The sequence below is a fragment of the Homo sapiens genome, chromosome X (genome assembly GCF_000001405.40).
Source record: "Homo sapiens chromosome X, GRCh38.p14 Primary Assembly".
NCBI classification, from domain to species: Eukaryota; Metazoa; Chordata; class Mammalia; order Primates; family Hominidae; genus Homo; species Homo sapiens.
Genome location: NC_000023.11, coordinates 71210537 through 71231153, shown reverse-complemented (window position 1 = coordinate 71231153; position 20617 = coordinate 71210537). Strand labels below are relative to the sequence as shown.

General features: G+C 50.0%; 1 protein-coding gene across 3 annotated transcripts; it reads right to left on the bottom strand.

The window, feature by feature from the left end:
* GJB1 (gap junction protein beta 1) lies at positions 5638–15915 on the bottom strand. 3 transcript variants are annotated; one of them, NM_001440770.1, is made up of 3 exons: positions 15864–15915; positions 8388–8570; positions 5638–7462 (listed from the first exon to the last, which is right to left on the bottom strand). In NM_001440770.1, exon 3 carries the CDS (start codon positions 7444–7446, stop codon positions 6595–6597), a length of 852 nt encoding a protein of 283 aa, NP_001427699.1. In that variant the 5' UTR covers positions 7447–7462; positions 8388–8570; positions 15864–15915; the 3' UTR covers positions 5638–6594. The 3 variants fall into 3 exon arrangements, with proteins under 3 accessions (NP_001427699.1, NP_001091111.1, NP_000157.1); NM_001097642.3 differs by lacking the exon at positions 8388–8570; NM_000166.6 differs by lacking the exons at positions 8388–8570; positions 15864–15915 and adding an exon at positions 7819–7930.

The following is a 20617-nucleotide window of genomic DNA, read 5'->3' as shown; positions in this document are numbered from 1 at the left end:
CTCACCTCCTACTGCAACCACCCCACTCCCCATCCCATGCATTTTCTGCTCTAGTCACAGTGAACACATTCTACTCTCTCACGACTCTGAATCTTTGCACATGCATATGTCTTCCTCCCCGCTGCCCTGAATCCCACAGGCTACTAAGCACCTACTATGTGTTAAGCTTATGCAAGTGATTACCACACAATAGTTTCTTTCTTTTCCTCCCTCCCTTCCCCCCTTCCCCCTTCCCCCTCTTCCTTCCCCTTCCCCTTCCCCTTCTCCTTCCTTCCTTCCTTCCTTCCTTCCTTCCTTCCTTCCTTCCTTCCTTCCTCTCTTTCTTTCTTTCTTTCTTTCTGATGGAGTCTTGCTCTGTCAGCCAGGCTGGAGCACAATAGCATGATCTCAGTTCACTGCAACCTCCCCCTCCTGGGTTCAAGCAATTCTCCTGCTTCAGCCTCCCAAGTAGCTGGGATGACAGGCGAGTGCCACCAGGCCCAGCTGATTTTTCTATTTTTAATAGAGACAGGGTTTCGCCATGTTGGCCAGGCTGGTCTCCAATTCCTGGCCTCAAGAGATCCACCTGCCTAGGCCTCCCAAAGTGCTGGGATTACAGACGTGAGCCACCGCACCTGGCCTCTTTCTTTTTTTAAGACAGATTTTATGAGCTAATCTTTCTTTCCTTCCTCCCTCCCTCCCTCCCTCCCTCCTTCCTTCCTTCCTTCCTTTTTTTCAGAGTCTCACTCTGTCACCCAGGCTGGAGTACAGTGGCACGATCTCGGCTTACTGCAGCCTCTGCCTCCCAGGTTCAACTGATTCTCCTGCCTCAGCCTCCTGAGTAGGTGGGACTACAGGCGCCCACCACCACGCCTGCCTGATTTTTGTATTTTTAATAGAGACAGGGTTTTGCCATATTGACCAGGCTGGTCTTGAACTCCTGGCCTCAACAGATCCGCCTGCTTCAGCCTCCCAAAGTGCTGGGATTACAGGCGTGAGCCACTGTGCCTGGCCTGTGTGCTTTTCTTTTTTGTGTGTGTGTGGTGGTGGTGGTGGTGGTGGTATTTTTTAGAGATGGGGTCTCACTGTGTAGTCCAGGCTGGTCTCCAAGCAATCCTCCCACCTCATCTTCTTGAGCAGCTAGGATTACAAGTGTGAGTCACCGCACCTGGCACCATATAATGTGATAAGCGCTCTTATCACATACACCACAGTCATATTGTGGGAATTCAGAGTGGAGGTCTGAATTGGAGAGTCTCTCCAAGGGACTTGATCAGCGGGGAAAGAAGAGTTGATGGCTTCACAGAGGAAACGACGTTTGAGATGAGTTTTGAATGATTAGGAGCTTTCCAGTCAAAGGAGGGAAAGGAAACCTCAAATTACCTTTGGCTCTTCCACACCCCACAACTCAGACATGAAGTCCTGTTGTAGGTTCTACATCCAAAATGTCTCTCACACCTGTCTCCTCTTCATATTCCTCTGCCACTGTCCTAGTCCTACAGGCGCCACTTGGGCTATTGCAACAGCTCCATAACTGGTCTTTTTTTTTAGAGACAGGGTCTCACTATGTTGACCAGACTGGTCTCAAAGTCTTGGGTTCAAGGAATCCTTCCACCTCAGCCTCCCAAGTAGGTGGGACCACAGGTGTGCCACTGCACCTGGCAGTACCTGGTCAATCTGTCTCAGTCTTCAATCCCCAATCCAGTCTCCATGCAGCTGCTGGCTGACCTTCCAAACACACAAGTTTGAAGGTATCACCCCCGTCATACCTTTTTTTTTTTTTTGAGACAGAGTCGCTCTGTCACCCAGGCTGGAGTGCAGTGGCATGATCTCGGCTCATTGCAACCTCTGCCTCCCAGGTTCAAGCGATTCTTATGCCTCAGCCTCCCAAGTAGCTGAGATTACAGGCGTGCGCCACCACACGGGGCTAATTTTTGTATTTTTGGTAGAGACGGGGTTTCACCATGTTGGCCAGGCTGGTCTCAAACTCCTGACCTCAAGTGATCCACCTGCCTCGGCCTCCCAAAGTGCTGGGATTACAGGCGTGAGCCACCGTGCCTGGCTTTTTTTTTTTTTTTTTTTTTTTTTTGTGATGGAGTCTCACTCACTCTGTCACTCAGGCTGGAGTGCAGTGGCGCGATCTCGGCTCACTGCAACCTCCACCTCCCGGATTCAAGCAATTCTCCCACCTCAGCCTCCTGAGTAGCTGGGACTATGGGCATGTGCCACCACGCCTGGCTAATTTTTGTATTTTTAGTAGAGACAGTGTTTCACCATGTTGGCCAGGATGGTCTCGAACTCCTGGCTTCAAGTGATCTGCCTGCTTTGGCTTCCCAAATTGCTGGGATTACAGGCAACAGCCACTGTGCCCAGCCAATTCCTGTCATATCTGTAGGGTATTTTTTGTCTGTTTTATTTGCCCCTTGCTGGAATGTCCCAATCCATTTTCCATTTGACCCTGTACATTCTCCCTGGCCTACTCCAGGAATCAACAGGAGCTTAGCTTGGTACGATTGTGTAGCCCCTTCTGCACCATAGGCCAGGTCTGGCATTTAAGTACTTTGGAATCAGTAAATGGAGCAAGCATTCCCCTCTAGCCCCCACTGTGTGCACCCAGGCTATCTGATTGAACATCTGAACCAGTTTGTGGTTGCCATGCCAATTCTCTATGGATACCACAGCTTGCTTTCAAACCCCAACTCAGCTGGCTGGAGGCCTTGATTACTCTCCTAGTTCATCTGCCTCTGTTCCTTTGCCCCCCAGCTCCTGGCATCTCTGTGCATAGACACCTCTAAAAGATCATAGACATTCCTAAAAGGACCAGTTCCATGAGATACAGCATGCAAGAGCTTCCTGTTACTATGCCTTTTCTGCCCCCTGATCAGACCCCTTGAATATTGACCCTTAAATGAATCATGCTCAGGTTTGCAACCTCTCTTGGACTTTGCTGTTTGGACTGGTGTCCACTCCCTGGGGGAGCCAACACTATTATTGCCAAATTGTTTTAACTAGCTTCAGCCTACCTGAACCAGCCTCACTCCTTTCTGGCTCATTGAGAATTCTAGCATGTCGTAAGGCCATGGTCTCAGTGCTTATGATACTATCTTACCTTACTTTACCGTTAGTTCATAACCAGCTTTTGAACACATCTTGTCTGATTCTCAAAAAAGTTCTGTGAAAGAGGTAGAGAGGTTATTATTAACTCTCTATTGGAGATGAGGAAACAGACCTGGAGAGGGTAAATATCACGTGTCCAAGGGGACAGAGCTCATCAGTGGAGAACGAGGTCTCCTAATTCCAGTGTCCTCTTCATAACCCAGGTCACTCAGCACATTGAATTTCTACTGCGTGGCAGAGAGCATGCCTCATTTGCCTCTGTGTCTCTCTCTTATACTCTTGTGACAGAGCCTGATTTGAAAAGTCAGTCTTGGAGTCAGTCTAACTCTGCCTCCTACCTCCCTGAGACATTGTGTCCACCAGCTCCCCTCAAGGTTCCTTGGGCCTGTTCCTACCTGGTTCATGGGACCCAAGAATCCTGTGTCCCCCACTTGGGCTGTAACACCCAGCCTGATAGCTTTATTGTCCCACCACTGCCCCCTGGAGAGGAAAGCCTTGATATAGAGTTGGAGCCTCTTTCCAAGGGGGATTGGTAGAATCTTTGAAGAGAAACTACATTTCTGATGTGATGGTGGGGGTTAGCATTTCTCAATGTGGAGAGGGCATGAGGTTCCCTGCTTCCGACCAGGACCAGGATGGAATTTTAAAAAGAAAATCTTTCTCCTGATGGCATGTTGTATGGAGAGGGGATGTGTTTGTTGTATTGTTGTGGGTGAAAAGGATGGATTTCGATAAGAAAAGGAATCTCTCTCACCGTGAGGGGGTGGGGACCTCTCCTCTGATGGAACATAATGTCAGTTTCTAAGGGGAAAGGAAATTTCTTGTAGGAAAGGAATGTTCCTCTTTTAAGGGAGAGGAAGCTCTCTCTCAGGGATTACTAAGTGTGGTGGAAAGGAATACTTACTCTCTCCTTTCTTTCTTTCAATTTTTTAAAAATAGAGATGGGAGGCCGGGCGCGGTTGCTCACACCTGTAATCCCAGCTCTTTGGGAGGCCGAGGCGGGCAGATCACGAGGTCAGGAGATTGAGACCATCCTGGCTAACACAGTGAAACCCCGTCTCTACTAAAAATACAAAAAAAAATTAGCCGGGCGTGGTGGCGGGCGCCTATTGTCCCAGCTACTCGGGAGGCTGAGGCAGGAGAACAGCGTGAACCCGGGAGGTGGAGCTTGCAGTGAGCCGAGATCGCGCCACTGTACTCCAGCCTGGGTGACAGAGCGAGACTCCGTCTCAAAAAAAAAAAAAATAGAGATAGGATCTTGCTATGCTGTCCAGGCTAGTCTTGAACTCCTGGCCTCATGCAATCCTCTTGCTTCGGCCTCTAAAGGTCTCATTTCCTTCCCTCCCTCCCTCCCTCTCTCCCTCCCTCCCTTCCTTCCTTCCTTCCTTTTCTTTCTTTGTTTCTTTCTTGACAAGGTCTCACTCTCTGGCCCGGGCTGGAGTGCAGTGGCGTGATCACAGCTGACTGCAGCCTCAACCTCCTCCTGGGCTCGAGTTATCCTCCCACCTCAGCATCCGAAATAGCTTGGGACTACAGGCACATGCCACCACACCTGACTAATTGTTTTATTTTATTTTTTTTGTAGAGATGGGGTCTCTCTATGTTGCTCAGACTGGTCTCAAACTCATGGGCTCAAGTGATTCTCTCCCCTTGGCCTTCCAAAGTGCTGGGACTACAGGCATGAGCCACCACATCCAGTCTTCCTTTTTTTTTTTTCTAAAGGAGAAATCTCAAATAAAGAAAACTTCCATGCTTTCTCTCCAAAGAGGAAAAACTGTCTCAAGGGAGAACAATTCACATGAGATTGTGTCTGATTTTCTCTCCCTTTCTGATATCCAGCACTTCCTACATGGAGTCCACATACTCTGAGAGGGAGTGGCAAATAATTTCTCCTGTTCGGAGGTAAGGAAGCTGAGGAGGCAAACTTGCCATGGGGGAAACTTTTACTCTGAGAGGCTATTTGTGGGGGCAGTGACTCTAAGGAAACCCCTGTGAGGCTGGGGGAAGATAATGCACTGTTACTTGGGGAAATCTTTCAGGAATCCCAGAAGCACAGAGTGTTGAAGGGAGCTGAGAGATGTGCTGGGCCAGTTCTCGTTTGCTCATAAGGAAGCTGAGGTTCGGGGAAGGGAATGCCCCGCTACTAAGTGACAGCATCAGGACTCCAGCGCAGCTTTTCCAAGTCTCAGCCTGGGGCATTTCCTACCACAGCTGACAGGGGAGGGTGATGCTGGTGAGGAAACTGCTGCTATGAAATGTTTGACCTGTGTGGAGGCATCTCTGGAGTGGGAAGCATTGATTCCTGAGAGAAGGAAACTGGGAAAGAGGATGAAATTAGGGGCTCTGTCCAGCTGAAAGGGGTCAGGGTCATCGTGCAACCCAACAGGTGGACTGTGGGACATCAGCTTGTAGGGGATGCTGAGTTTGGAGGGAGTAAGGAGATAGGTCTCCAGATGTGCGGGGGAGGGGCTCTCACCGAGGTACCCAGGGAATTGTGCCACTCTCTGGGGCAGGAGAAATTTCCCAATCATTTCTTGTCTCTTCAGAGGGAGTTGTCATTTTTAATCTTTTCAAAATCAGAGGAAGGAGGTATGTAAACTAAATCCCAATAAAGCTGTTATTAGACAATGAAAAAGACAAGAACCACAACAACAAAAGCAACAGGGAGGAATGGCTCCGGGGCTGGCTCTGCGGCCCAGAAGTACAGTGATTTCCTCATTTGCAGCTTCAGCTACTCAAGTAACTACTTCTTTTGCCCTGTTCCTTTCTTAATCAGTAAAAAACCAAGGCCAGCTCATCCTGGGGGAGGTCAGAGGTTGCAGGAGAAAGAACTTGACAAACACACAAGCCACCTCTTCATTTACTGTAAAATCCTGTTTAATGTGTAACATTTCAGGCAGAGAGAGGCCTTGGGGACTAGAGGCAGAGGTGGCCTTGACCAACCCCTGCTCCAACTTATCTGCCTGCTTCTCTCTCCCTAACTCCCTCACCCCAGACACCTCCTCCTTTTCCTTGTGGCCAGCAAGCACTATTCCTCCTTTACTAGTGCTGGCCACCCTCCCTTCTCCACCCACATGTCCACAGCACCCCTGCCCTCTGCTCCTCTTACCCACATCCCTCCTCACTGATGTGACTCCAGAAACAGGGTATCTGACAGCACAGGGTTAAGATTAGTTTCATAATTGGAGACGCTGTCGGAGCATCCCATCTCTTGTACCCAGTGGTCCCAGAGAGAGGGAGAGGGAAGAGGGAAGGGTGCAGGCAACAAGGGCAGCCCACACTCCCAGTAACCTTGAGCACTGGCATAGGTGGCCTCTAGCTCCCCACCCCTCCAGCTCCTCAAAAGGAAGGCCCCGGGAGGAAGGGAAGTAGCCAGGGAAGGAAGGTTTTGATCGAGTAATCCCCAGCAGGCAGAGGCCTGTGCACCGGCAGGGGAGAAGGAGGGGCTCGCCCAGGGCAGGGTCGGGGGTGGGATGGGAGGTTGCCTGGTATGTGGCATCAGCAGGCCGAGCAGCGGTCGCTCTTTTCAGCCAGCCCAGCCCCGGTGCCAGGGCTGCGGCGCAGTATGTCTTTCAGGGAGCCATCCTGCTCACTCAGCAGCTTGTTGATCTCATTCTGCTTGTATTCAGGTGAGAGGCGGTGGCCGAAGCCCGAGCCCTTGCGGGAAGGTGGATTGGAGCGGCGCTGGGCTCGGCGGGCACAGGCCCGGATGATGAGGTACACCACCTCGGCCACATTGAGGATGATGCAGATGCCAGAGGCAGCTAGCATGAAGACGGTGAAGACGGTTTTCTCGGTGGGGCGGGACACGAAGCAGTCCACTGTGTTGGGGCAGGGGTAGACGTCGCACTTGACCAGCCGCACCATGGCATAGCCAGGGTAGAGCAGATAAAAGACATACATGAAGACGGCCTCAAACAACAGCCGGAACACCACGCTGATGACATAGGTCCACCACAGTGTCCCTGAGATGTGGACCTTGTGCCTCTTCACCTCCTCCAGGTGTAGGGGGTCCCCATGGCCCTCAAGCCGTAGCATTTTCTTCTCTATGTGTTGCTGGTGAGCCACGTGCATGGCCACGAGGAGAGCTGGGGTGGAAACTAGGATGAGCTGCAGGGACCACAGCCGCACATGGGAGATGGGGAAGAATTGGTCATAGCAAACGCTGTTGCAGCCAGGCTGGAGTGTGTTGCAGATGAAGGAAGATTTCTCATCACCCCACACACTCTCTGCAGCCACCACCAGCACCATGATTCTGAAGATGAAGATGACCGAGAGCCATACTCGGCCAATGGCAGTAGAATGCCGGTTCACGCCACTGAGCAAGGTGTACAAACCTGTCCAGTTCATCCTGCCTCATTCACACCTGCAAAACACCAGCCATGAAGCAAGCTGTCAGAAAGCTGGGGTGGAAAGTCGGGCGCCATAGCACTGCCTGCGCACCCCCCCTCAACTCTTCCAAGAGCCAGTAGCAGGAAAGGAAGGATGGTCATGTCTTTCCTCGTCACCCCATCTCCCTTGCCAGCTTCTCCTCCTCCTCACTCACTTGACTTGACCTCCCTGAGCCCCATCCCCCTTCTTCGCTTTCATCCAACATTCTTTTCCCGCCAGCCCCTTTCTTTGCCAAGCCCATCTTGTTCCGATATCAGCCATCCCCTATGGCTCCCTGTCCCCTAGCTCCTTAACTCCAGACCTGGGGCAAACTCAACAAAGCCCTCTTACCTTGGGGAGCGCCTATCCCTGAGGCCACCCAGACAGGTCCCCTATGGTCTCATGTCTGTGCAGGGGGAGTGGTCCCTGGGCTCCGCGCCTGCGTCCCAATTCATCACCGCCCGGTGCTGGGGAGTCATATGCTGCTTTATACCCAGTGTCTGCACAATGAGACCTTTGTGGGGCTCTGAACAACGCCCTTTAGAATTCAGATCAAACGCCCTGACTTCCGCCCACCCTACACACAGAGCACTTGTGTCCCAGCGCCGGACACCCAGCCTGCACCCACCTGTTCTGTGCCCGCCCGGTCCATCGCCGCACCCGCCCCATAGCCCCACCAGAAGAATGGCCACGGGGGGGCGGGGGGAGGGAGATAAAACACAGGCAGGTGGATGTGAAGAGGGGACCCCAGGGGACCCAGAGGCTCTGGGCTGAGGCCCTCCCCCATGGCCCCGTCAGAAGCTTAAGGTCACCAGGATTTTCCCTGAGGCTTAGATCCTCTCCGGAATATGGAGAGGAAAGAGGACAGGAAAGAGAGCTCATTTATGAAGCCACAAACTGTGCTGAGCGTTGTTCCATACATTTTTTCTTTCGACCCATTTAGGAAGCCTGTTATCCCATTTTCCAGATGAAGAAGCTGAAGCTCAGATAAGTAACTCCTCAAGGTCACACCGTTCCAAAGCGGTAGGATAGGTAGGATGAAACAATGTATCTGAGACAGAAGTCTTTCTACAGCAGGCTCCCTGTGCTTCTGCAGATAGTGTCTGTAGAAAGCAAAGGCTAACCATTAAAAAAAAAAAAAAAAAAAGGCTGGGCGCCGTTGCTCACGCCTGTAATCCCAGCACTTTAGGAGGCTGAAGTGGGCAGATCACTTGAGGTCAGGAGATCAAGACCATCCTGGCTAACAATGTGAAACCCCATCTCTACTAAAAATACAAAAAATTAGCCGTGTGTGGTGGCGCATGCCTGTAATCCCAGCTGCTGGGTGGGAGAATCACTGGAACCCAGGAGGCAGAGGTTGCAGTGGGCCAAGATTGCACCACTGCACTCCAGTCCGGGCGACAGAGCAAGACTCCGTCTCAAAAAAAAAAAAAAATCTTCTCAGGAAAAGATAACAAAGTTGCTTTGGGGGAATAAATGGTCTGTCAAACCCAAGATCTCTCCTTTTTCTCCCTAATGCTGTGGGTTGTTTTTTATTAGAGGGTGGGGACAAGGTCTGGCTATATCACTAAGGCTAGAGTGCAGTGGCACAATCACTGCTCACTGCAGCCTTGACCTCCTGGGCTCCAGCGATCCTCCCACCTCAGCCTCTCAATTAGCTGGGACCACAGGTATGTGTCACCATGCCCAGCTAATTTTTCAATTTTTTTTTTTTGTAGAGATGGGGGGCTTGCTATGTTGCCCAGGCTGGTCTTGAACTCCTGGGCTCAAGCGATCTTCCCACTTTTGCCTCCCAAAGTGTTGGGTTTACAGGTGTGAGCCACCTTGAGCAGTCCCCAATGCTGTTGTTGACCTATAGGGTCTGTCTGAGACCCCATTGCTGCCCAGCCCCCAACCCCAAGTGCATATTGCAACCTCGTGGTTTCAGGAGCTTGCCAGTTGCTCTAGGGAGGAAATTCTCCTCTATCCCTTAGGCAGGCTAAGAAGGCTTCTCCCACCTCTTGCCACTTCTGCCATTAAGTTGCAAGGAGATCATACTAGCAGCAGGAAACTGAATGTGAGGAGGACATGCAGCCCTGGACCATAGGAGGTGCAGTGATCCCTGGAGTCATTTCCTGACCCCAGTGCATGCTCCACAGCAGAGCAACTGGTTGTGGAAGAAGCCTCATATTCAGCCCTGGGTGGTCCTCTATGCTGTAGAGGAAAGGGGTGGGGTAACAGCAACTGCAAAAGTTGGGAAATGGGATGAAAGAATCTGGGGAAAGAAGGACAGTCCACAGGACATAGGTTACTTCTCAGAACAAGGTTTCTTCATTTAGCTAAATAAATAAATAAATAAATAAATAAATAAATAAATAAATAAAAAGCCTTAGTGAGTTCATGTCATGTGCCAACCAGCATGGGGAAGCAGGGCTATGGGTGCCCTTTCTCCCAAGCCTGGGATTCTATATGCAAAGCTGCTGCACTAGGCACCACAGTTAGCCATAAAGAAATGCTTCAGGGGCTGGGCAAGGTGGCTCACGCCTGTAATCCCAACACTTTGGGAGGCCAAGGCGGGCGGATCACGAGGTCAGCAGATCGAGGCCAACATGGTGAAACCTCGTCTCTACTAAAATTACAAAAATTAGCTGGGTGTAGTGGCATGCACCTGTAATCCCAGCTACTTGGGAGGCTGAGGCAGGAGAATTGCTTGAACCCAGGAGGCGGAGATTGCAGTGAGCCGAGATTGCGCCACTGCACTCCAGCCTGGTGACAGAGCGAGACTCTGTCTCAAAAAAAAAAAAAAAAAAAAAAAAAGGAAAGAAACAAAGAAAGAAAAGAAATGCTTCAGGTGGTGAGATGTGTTACACTCTAGAACAGGTGGCCAGAGAATTATTAAGAATAACCGGCTGGGTGCAGGGGCTCACGCCTGCAATCCCAGCACTTTGGGAGGCTTAGGCGGGCAGATCACTGAGGGGTTCAAGTCCAGCCTGACCAACATGGTGAAACCCCGTCTGTACTAAAAATACAAAAATTAGCTGGGTGTGGTGGCGGGCACCCGTAATCCCAGCTACTCAGGAGGCTGAGGCAGGAGAATTGTTAGAACCCAGGAGGCAGAGGTTGCAGTGAGTGGAGATCCCGTCACTGCACTCCAGCCTGGGGGAAAGAGTGAGACTCCGTCTCGGAAAAGACGAACAAACAAACAAACAAACAAACAAACAAACAAACAAAACCTAGGCCAGGCGCAGTGGCTCACGCCTCGAATCCCAGCACTTTGGGAGGCTGAGGTGGGTGGATTGCTTGAGCCCAGGAGTTTGAGACCATCATGGGCAACATAGCATGACCCTCGTCTCTATTATATTTAAAAAAAAAAAAAAAGGCCGGGCACAGTGGCTCACGCCTGTAATCCCAGCACTTTGGGAGGCAGAGGCAGGTGGATCACGAGGTCAGGAGATCGAGACCATCCTGGCTAACATGGTGAAACCCCGTCTCTACTAAATATACAAAAAATTAGCCAGGTGTCTCAAATTAGCCGGCTGTCTCAAAAAAAAAAAAAAAAAAAAAAGGCCAGGCACAGTGGCTCACGCCTGTAATCCCAGCACTTTGGGAGGCAGAGGCTGGTGGATTACCTGAGGTCAGGAGTTCGAGACCAGCCTGACCAACGTGGTGAAACCATGTCTCTACTAAAAATACAACAATTAGCTGGGCGTGGTGGCGCATGCCTGTAGTTCCAGCTACTCAGGAGGCTGAGGCAGGAGAATCGCTTGAACCCGGGAGGCAGATGTTGTAGTGAGCTGAGATCCCACCACTGCACTCCAGGCTGGGCGACAGAACGAGACTCTGCCTCTTAAAAAAAAAAAAGAATAAAAGAAATAATAATAATAATAAAAGAATAACCTGGCCAGGTTATTCTTTTTTTTTTTTTTTTTTTTTTGAGAGGGAGTCTCGCTCTGTCGCCCAGGCTGGACTGCAGTGGCGCGATCTCAGCTCACTGCAAGCTCCGCCTCCCAGGTTCACGCCATTCTCCTGCCTCAGCCTCCCGAGTAGCTGGGACTACAGGCGCCCGCCACCACGCCTGGCTAATTTTTTTTTGTATTTTTAGTAGAGACGGGGTTTCACCACGTTAGCCAGGATGGTCTCGATCTCCTGACCTCGTGATCCACCTGCCTCAGCCTCCCTAAGTGCTGGGATTATAGGCGTGAGCCACCGCGCCTGGCCCCTGGCCAGGTTATTCTTAGGCAACATATGGAGACCCCCGTCTCTTAAAAAAAAAATTAAAAGGAGGCAGAGGTAGGAGTATCGCTTGAGTCTAGGAGTTCAAGACCAGCCATAGGCAACATAGTGAGACCCCATCTCTACAAAAAAAGAAACACAAAAATTATCCAGGCATGGTGGCTGGTGCCATTCACCCATAGTCCTAGCTACTTAAGAGGCTGTGGCAGGCAGATCTCTTGAGTCCAAGAGGTCGAGGCTGCAGTGAGCTTCAATTGCGCCAACTGCACTCCAGCCTGTCTCAGAAAATAATAATAATAATAATAATAATAATAATAATAATAAGACCACCTCAACATTGTAGCATTTTTATTAAAAAAAAATTTACTGAGTACCTGTTATATGCCAGGCCCCTGCACATGCACTGTCATTTAATCCTTAAAAGAACTTTTTGAGGTAAGTGTTGCTTTATCCTCATATCACAGATGAGCAAACAGAGGCAAAGAAAGGTGAAAGGACTTATCTAAGAGTCACATAGTCAGTAAGTGATAGAGCTGGGATTTGAACCAGGTCAAGCTGACTCCAGAACACACACTTTTTTTTTTTTTTTGAGACGGAGTCTAGCTCAGTCACCCAGGCTGGAGTGCAGTGGCGCGATCTCGGCTCACTGCAAGCTCCGCCCCCTGGGTTCACGCCATTCTTCTGCCTCAGACTCTTGAGTAGCTGGGACTACAGGCGCCCCCGCAACCACGCCCGGCTAATTTTTTTGTATTTTTAGTAGAGATGGGGTTTCACCGTGTTAGCCAGGATGGTCTTGATCTCCTGACCTCGTGATCCGCCCGCCTCGGCCTCCGAAAGTGCTGGAATTACAGGCGTGAGCCACCGTGCCTGGCCACACACTTTTTTTTTCTTTTGAGACAGGGTCTCACTCTGTAGCCCAGGCTGAAGTGCAGTGGCGCGATCTCGGCTCACTGCAACCTCCGCCTCCCGGGTTCAAGTGATTCTCGCAGAGCACATACTCTTTCCCATAAGCTCTACTTGGCTACAGGTATAACTTTTCTTTCTGTGGGTACTTTTTAGGAACAGGGAGATTGAAAAAAAAAAAAAAAAGGAACAGGGAGATTCAAAACTGCTATGTCTTATTTTCTTTTAGCCCCTTCTCCCCTTTCCTATCAATTGACAACTCTTTCTTTTCTTTTTTTTTGAGATGGAGTCTTGCTCTGTCACCCAGGCTGGAGTACAGTGGCACGCTCTCTGCTCACTGCAACCTCCGCCTCCTGGGTTCAAATGATTCTCCTGCCTCAGCCTCCCGAGTAGCTGGGATTACAGGTGCGTGTCACCACACCTGGCTAATTTTTGCATTTTTAGTAGAGATGGTGTTTTACCATGTTGGCCAGGCTGGTCTCGAAGTCCTGACCTCAGGTAATCCTGCTGCCTCAGCCTCCCAAAGTGCTGGGATTACAGGCGTGAGCCACTGTGCCTGGCCCAGCTCTTTTTTTTCTAAGGTACTTTTGTTGTAGCAATTGACAACTCTTTCCCTCTCCTTCTGTCCCAGGATTTTCTGCTGCCTCTTGATTTGGTCTGCTTTTCCTTTCCTTACCTTTCTTGGGCTGCTTCCTCAAACTGCAAAGCAAACCTTAGCTGTTCTCTTCTCTGCCCTTCAGGGGTGTGCCACAGACATCCTGGCCACCCCTGAGTTTCTAGGTTCTTGTAACTCCCCGCCTTTTTTCTTCTTGAGTCTTCTGGGACATAGCCAGTAGCTCCCTGTGGGGCCTCTAAGGACCCTTGTCTGGGTGCTGTGATCTCAATTTTTGCTGTTACCTTTGGAAGGAGAACTGATCCCTATGTCAATATCAATGCCTCAAGGATTTCATTCTAAAAACATCCAGGGGAGTGACCTGATTTTGAAATCCAAACTGTTTTTGTGACTTCGGGTTAAAGTCCCCGTATTGATATCCTCGGTGTTGCTGCACGCGTGTTTTGCTCTCATGTTTAATTAGACAGGACTTCTCTGGCCTTGTCAGGCTCTGGCCCTGTCCCCAGATTTAGATTTGCCCTAGCACTCAAGCACAGTGCAAAATCAGGTGATCTCACTTAGTCCTTACAGCAGTCCTGTAATATTATCCCCATTTTTCAGACAAGGAAGTTGAGGCTCAGAGAGGTTAAGAAACTTGCCTCAACGGCAATTGCACTGCTGCTAAATGGTAGAATCAAGTTCCAAGTTTATTTTCTTACCTCAAAGTCTTTGTATATGGCGCTGCTTATGGCGGCCTCTCTTCCTTTAAGGAGTTTGCATTCTGAGACCAGGCCTACTATTCAAAAACCTATACACTTTCCTGCGTGTGCTGGCACACGCACACACACACACACACACACACACACACACACACATTCGTCTAGTCTGTCTCTGTCTCTCTCTGTTTCTGCCCCCACCTCCTCCCTATCCTTCCAACTACAGGAAAATCCTTGTGATTTGGGGTTTGGGGAAGAGGGGTGGGCTGGGATGGATGAGGTTACATTCAGCCTCGGACTCCATGCTCCCTCCCCCATTTCGCAGGCAGTCACTGGTCAGGAAGGGACATGGGGCTTTCTTTGAGATTTCCTTAGGAATTTCTGGCTGCCTTCATCAGTTTGGTGTGGCTAAGGCCAAACTCCTCCAGCTCTCTTCCCCTTCCCCTGCTTCTCTCTCTTGCCTCCACCCTGCAGTTCTGCAATATCTCAGTCACTGGACTTAGCCTCTCCACCCTGCCATACATATTCCGTGGCCAGGCTTGGGTCAGGTCCAGTCTAGCTCATTCCGATTTGTTCTTTCCCCCTCTCTGCTGCGGTCTTTTCAGAGAGCTTCTGCTTATGCCAGCTCCCTTCCCCATTGTTTGGACGCTACTCCCTTACTCCTCCATCACCCACCTGACTTCCTGTTGCTCTCTGCTTGGGTTATTATAACAGCTGCCATTTATGGAGTGCCCCCTGTGTGTATATTCACAGACTCTCACGCTCACAACAACCCCGTGAGCCAGGAGCTATTGTCTTCAACTCACAGGTGAGGCAATGAAGGCTAACAGAAGCTGAGTAACTTACTACACAGGTGGTAAGCAAGTGCTGGAGCTCAGAGTAGGAATCGTATTGGCCCCTCACCCAAGCCTGGGTCCCTTTTCCATTGCCAGGCTGCATTCTAATCTATACTTCTCTCCATTAAAACCCCTCTTGTCTGTATTCTCCTCTCCTCATTTCATTTTCTAAGTTTACACATTCTGCTGTGCCATTCCCAACAGCTGCAACAACTTTCAAACAGCTGGGGAACACCCCTCCTTTAGATCTCCAAACCGGCCGGGCGTGGTGGCTCATGCCTGTAATCCCAGCACTTTGGGAGGCCGAAGCGGGCAGATCACCTGAGGTTGGGAGTTTGAGACCAGCCTGACCAACATGGAGAAACCCCGTCTCTACTAAAAATACAAAATTAGCCAGGCATGGTGGTGCATGCCTGTAATCCCAGCTACTCGGGAGGCTGAGGCAGGAGAATCGCTTGAACCCGGGAGGCAGAGGTTGCAGTGAGCCGAGATTGCGCCATTGCACCCCAGCCAGGGCAACAAGAGTGAAAGTCCGTCTCAAAAAAAAAAAAAAAATCTCCGAACCATCAATTACTCCAAGTTCAGCTTGAGTCAGTCTGCCTCCTTCAAGAAAGTGGAAACACACGCTCCCAAATCCTTGGCCCTGTTGGCTAGCCCTCTGCAGCCCGCTGAGCACGCTTTATTCATCCACTCGCAGCCCCGTGTTGGGTGCATGCCTGGCTTGCCTTGTAATCAAGGAAGGAAAACAGCACCTGGCAGTGCCCAACATTCCCACTAAACCCTAACCCTGTGTGGCAGGAAATGTCTCAGAGAGACAAACTTGGCCACCTTGCACCTAGGGGGTCCCTCAAGTCTTCCTGAGAATCTGGCCCTATGGGAATAAGGGGAATCTTTGGCCAGAGGAAAAAAAGTGAGAGGAAAAGCAATGTTGAACCTGGAAAGAGGCTGCAGAGAGAGGCTAAGCAAGTCTGGCACCTGGCAGGAGGGGCCTCACCCCAGCTTCAGAGGGAAGCATGGAAGGGACCTAAGTGGCTGAAGGCGGAGGTCAGTAGAAGGCAAGACCCGGCCCCTATTTCCGGCCCACTGTGCCACATCAGCCCTCCCTGGCCCACCTCCCTCAGCCCCCAGTCTCCTCACCTCCCTGTCACTGCCACACCTGGCTGCTGCTGCCCTTTCCCAGAGAATGTCTGCAGGCGTGTCTGCCCTATGCCACCAGGTACTGTCAGCCCAGCCCAGGGGAGGGACAACGAACCCAGGGCCAGAGCCAGAAATGGCCCACAGCCCAAGAGGAACCAGACAAACATTAACCAGCCCCACCTCCTCCCACATACAATCATTAAACAAGATTGATCCTCTGAGCTCCCTATGGGTTTGGAGAGACAGATCACATAGCCTGGAGTCACTGCCTTGTCCCAGAGGAAGAGAGGCATCATTGTCACCCACCCATGTTTAGTCTCTCTGGGAGACTGAGCTGGACCTGTGCTCCTCAGCATCCCTCAGGCTTCCCCCATGCCCTGGCCTTAGGCAGATCCACAGTGCGGGCAAGCTGCAGAGAGGGATCCTGTACAGGCTGCCATCCTGGTCAACCCTTCTAGCTCCCAGCCTCTAAAACTGTATGACAGGGCCGGGCATGGTGGCTCATGCCTGTAATCCCAGCACTTTGGCCAAGGCGGGAGGATCACTTGAAGCCAGGAGTTTGAGACCAGCCTGGGCAACATAGTAAGACCCCATCTCTACAAAAAGTATAAATAAATAAACACATTAGATGACAATGGGGAGGAAAAAGCCATGGGTGATGCCTGCTGGCACCTGAGGTCAAGGTGGGAGCTGGCAGTGCTTCCCACCCATATGGCAGTACCAGGGTGCCCTCCGGCCACTTGCTTATTGTCCACATCCTGAGTGGCTGGGGATGGACCCAAGTATTTCTAATCCTATCCCAGAACCCTAAAACCTCAGAAATTGCTTTCTACCCTCAAGGCCAAGGCAGTTGAACTGCAAAGTGTATCATGTTCAGTAATGAATCTTGGCAATCATTAAGGTAAACAGAGACTGTCAACCATTAACTGAGGGATCAGTCTAGTTTCAAGGTCTGCACCACTGACGGCTTACCTGAAGACCCTGCTGTGTTCTGTGGCCTGAATGGCAGTGGAGAAACAAGGGAAGTTAGCAGAGAAACTGGCCCCCTGCCTTCTGTTCTTCACTCCAGCTTGAGCTCACTGCTAGAAAGGGAGCCAGGGCCTCAGCTTCCCTTAGCCAAACCTGGGCATATGGATACATCAATCCATGAGTATTGGACACCTACTAGGAACCCAGCATAGGGCTACGTGCTGGGTGCAGGTGGCAAAGGAGGTGAAAACATCCCAACTGTTCATAAGAGATTTATCAACTTCTTTTTTTTGAGACTCAGTCTCACTCTGTCACCCAGGCTAGAGTGCAGTGGCGCAATCTTGGCTCACTGCAACCTCCGCCTCCCGGGTTCAAGCGATTCTTCTGCCTCAGCCTCACGAGTAGCTGGGATTACAGGCGCCTAGCTAATTTTTGTATTTTTAGTAGAGATGGGGTTTCACCACGTTGGCCAGGCTGGTCTCGAACTCCTGACCTCAAGTGATCTGCCCGCCTCAGCCTCCCAAAGCACTGGGATTACAGGTGTGAGCTATCATGCCCTGCCGAACTTCTGGAGGAGAGGGGACCAAGACCCAATAAATTGTTGTGAAAAATATCAGTGCGTATTCACTAACTTTGATTCCTGAGAGAGTCCAGAGAAGGGAATGATGAGAATAAACTGAAGTAATCAGGGAAGGCTTCCTAGAGGAAGTGAGGTTTGAGTGGAGAAGTAAAAGACAGGTAGGAGCTGGAAGGGGAAGGACCGGGTTAGCATTCCAGGGAGGAGGAACAGTGTGAGTGAAGGCACAGAGTAGGAACGAGCAAGGCATATCTGGGAGCCAGTAAGGAGGCAGGACTGTGTTGAGGGGCTGTGGAGGAAACTGTCAGTCAGTTAAGAGGCTTAGAGTATGGAGGACATTTAAAGCCAGATAGGGAATCCTTTAGTTGTGCCTGGTAAACTTGGTAAAAGGCAAAACTGAGCTGGACATCATGGTGGGTGGGGGACAGGCTGAACACCATTCTTCCCGCTGAGAGTACAAGTTGTAATGGATAGAGAGGACTACCGTTTCCCGTGTACTTAATGCATTAAAGGCAATGTTCAAATTGTTTTGTATTACTTTGTTTGATCTTCAAAATAACCCTACAAAGTAGGCACTATTAATATTCTCATGTTACAGGGGAATTAAGGCACACAGAGGTTAAGTGACATAATTGAGGTTAGCCGGCTACTGGTAAATAACAAAGCTGGATTTGAACCCAGGCAGTCTGGTTCCAGAACTTGTTCACTTGGCCACTATATCACAGCTGATGAACTCTACAAGGTCCCACTGATAATCTGAGTTAGAGGTGGTCCCTGACTCCAGAAGATTCTAAGCTAACAGGACAGATAGAGACACTCACCTGAGTAACTACAAGGGAGTTTCTCCTAAATGCCATATGCAGATATGAGATGCCAGAAGTTCAGACGCAGAAGAAAAGGGTAGGTTTAACAGAAAGGCAGAGTTGGACGTGGGTCATAAAGGAGATGGAGGGACAAACATTTCAGGTGACAGGAAGCTGTGAGCTGTGTTTGGGGAACGGTAGGCAGACCTGTTTGACCAGAAGAGAGAGCTCCTATATATAGCGGAGTTCCTAGGAAGGGAAACTACAGGTTAATATTAGTGTGTACTCATTGTTCCTTGGAGTTCTGGCAGGATTTCTTTGTGGTGCTTATAGTTCTAAACTATAGGAAGTCTATTTGGATACTCCGTAGCTGTATAAAATATATTGTTGCTAGAATTGACCTGTCTGCTGCCTATTTACTGTTACTTGAGCCCATCTTCTGGATGGAGTGCGGCTGCTAGAGAGAAGAAAGGCAAGGAAAGAGAAGGGAGGGAAAAGAGGGAGAGCAGGCTGGGCACCTTGGCTCACGCCTGTAATCCCAGCACTTTGGGAGGCCAAGGTGGATCATGAGGTCAGGAGATCAATACCATCCTGGCTAACACAGTGAAACCCCGTCTCTACTAAAAATACAAAAAATTAGCCAGGTTTGGTGGCGGGCGCCTGTAGTCCCAGCTACCCGGGAGGCTGAAGCAGGAGAATGGCGTGAACCCGGGAGGCGGAGCTTGCAGTGAGCCGAGATCATGCCACTGCACTCCAGCCTGGGCAACAGAGTGAGACTCTGTCTCAAAAAAAAAAAAAAAAAAAAGAGAGGGAGGACAAAGGGAAAATTACTACAGCGAACAATGTAAATCCATTTGCTCCTGTGATGCAGGTGAATTCAGCTGCTACCTGGAATCCTAAGCAAACTTTCTTCTTGATTTTTTGAGACAGGGTCTTGGTCTGTCACCCAGGCTGGAGTGCAGTGGCGCCATCACAGCTCACTTCAGCCTCTACCTTTCGGGCTCAAGGGATGGTCCCATCTCAGTCTCCCGAGTAGCTGGGACTACAGGTGCGTGCTGCCACACCGGCTAATTTTCAAATTTTTGGTAGAGATGGGGTCTCGCCATGTTGACCAGGCTGATCTCGAACTCCTGAACTCGAGTGATCTATCCACCTTGGACTCCCAAAGTGCTGAGATAACAGGTGCTCCACCCAGTCTTTCTCATTACAATGAATGTTTTGGGGGAATATTTAAAAACTTTACGTCCAGGCGCAGTGGCTCACGCCTGTAATTCCAGCACTGTGGGAGGCTGAAGCCAGCAGATCATCTGAGGTTGGGAGTTCGAGACCAGCCTGACCAACATGGAGAAACCTCGTCTCTACTAAAAATACAAAATTAGCCAGGCGTGGTGGTACATGCCTGTAATCCCAGCTACTTGGGAGGCTGAGGCAGGAGAATCGCTTGAACCCAGGAGGCAGAGGTTGTGATGAGCCGAGATCGCGCCATTGCACTCCAGCCTGGGTGACAGAGAGAGACTCTGTCTAAAAAAAAAAAAAAAAAAATCAGTCTGCTTATGTCTTGAGATTCACTCAAGGAAATCTTCATTAAATCTTGAGACATACAAGGTAAGAGACCCTAAACACAAGCCTGCTGTCTCCAGCATGGCTCAAACATCAGCCCAAACAAGGGCTTTCCTCATTCCTGTTCCACCGAAGACTAAGAGAGTTGATGGAGCAAACCGATCACATTATTTAAAAGCGCATCTTACCACCGACATTGTCATAGTTCAGAGCTTTAGGCCTCATAAACAGAATTGGCAGCCTGGTGAGAGCTCTGCTCATTACTTCAGGGAGTTGTGGCAGCTGCCTCAGCAACGGCAATCTTGAGGCTTTCTGGGATGGCAGGCAGCAGCACAGCCTCACATGTGGAGTCCATCATCCAGCCCATCCCTGGGCCTCATTACCTAACAAAATGTGGCATTTTGTATGGCTTTGATCAATGAGACAGCATTGCTGTATGACTCAGAAATCAAAGGGACAGCTTCCAATATAAATATTGTTTATGACACACAGGCAAAAACTCTTCCCAAATGGGTCCATAGGCTTAAGGAGATGGCTAACCCTGAGAAGCTGCAGAACATTTCCCAAATCCCCATGCCAGCTCAGGCTGTGGAAGATCATGCAAACTGTTCCCAGCGAGAGGTGCAAGGGAAACATGGAATTGGTCCTGTATTCATAATTGGTATTATTTTTTACAAATCCTTTTCAAAAGGCCACATGATTATATGAATGGATCTATGCCCCAGGAATTCATATTCTTTGAAGAAGCCAACTAGAGGGAGTTATCAGTATTTTTCCAAGGAGGTTTCTGAAGAATTGTACCAGATAGTGCCCCAATTCACTTGAGAGTTAGACGTATGCCATTT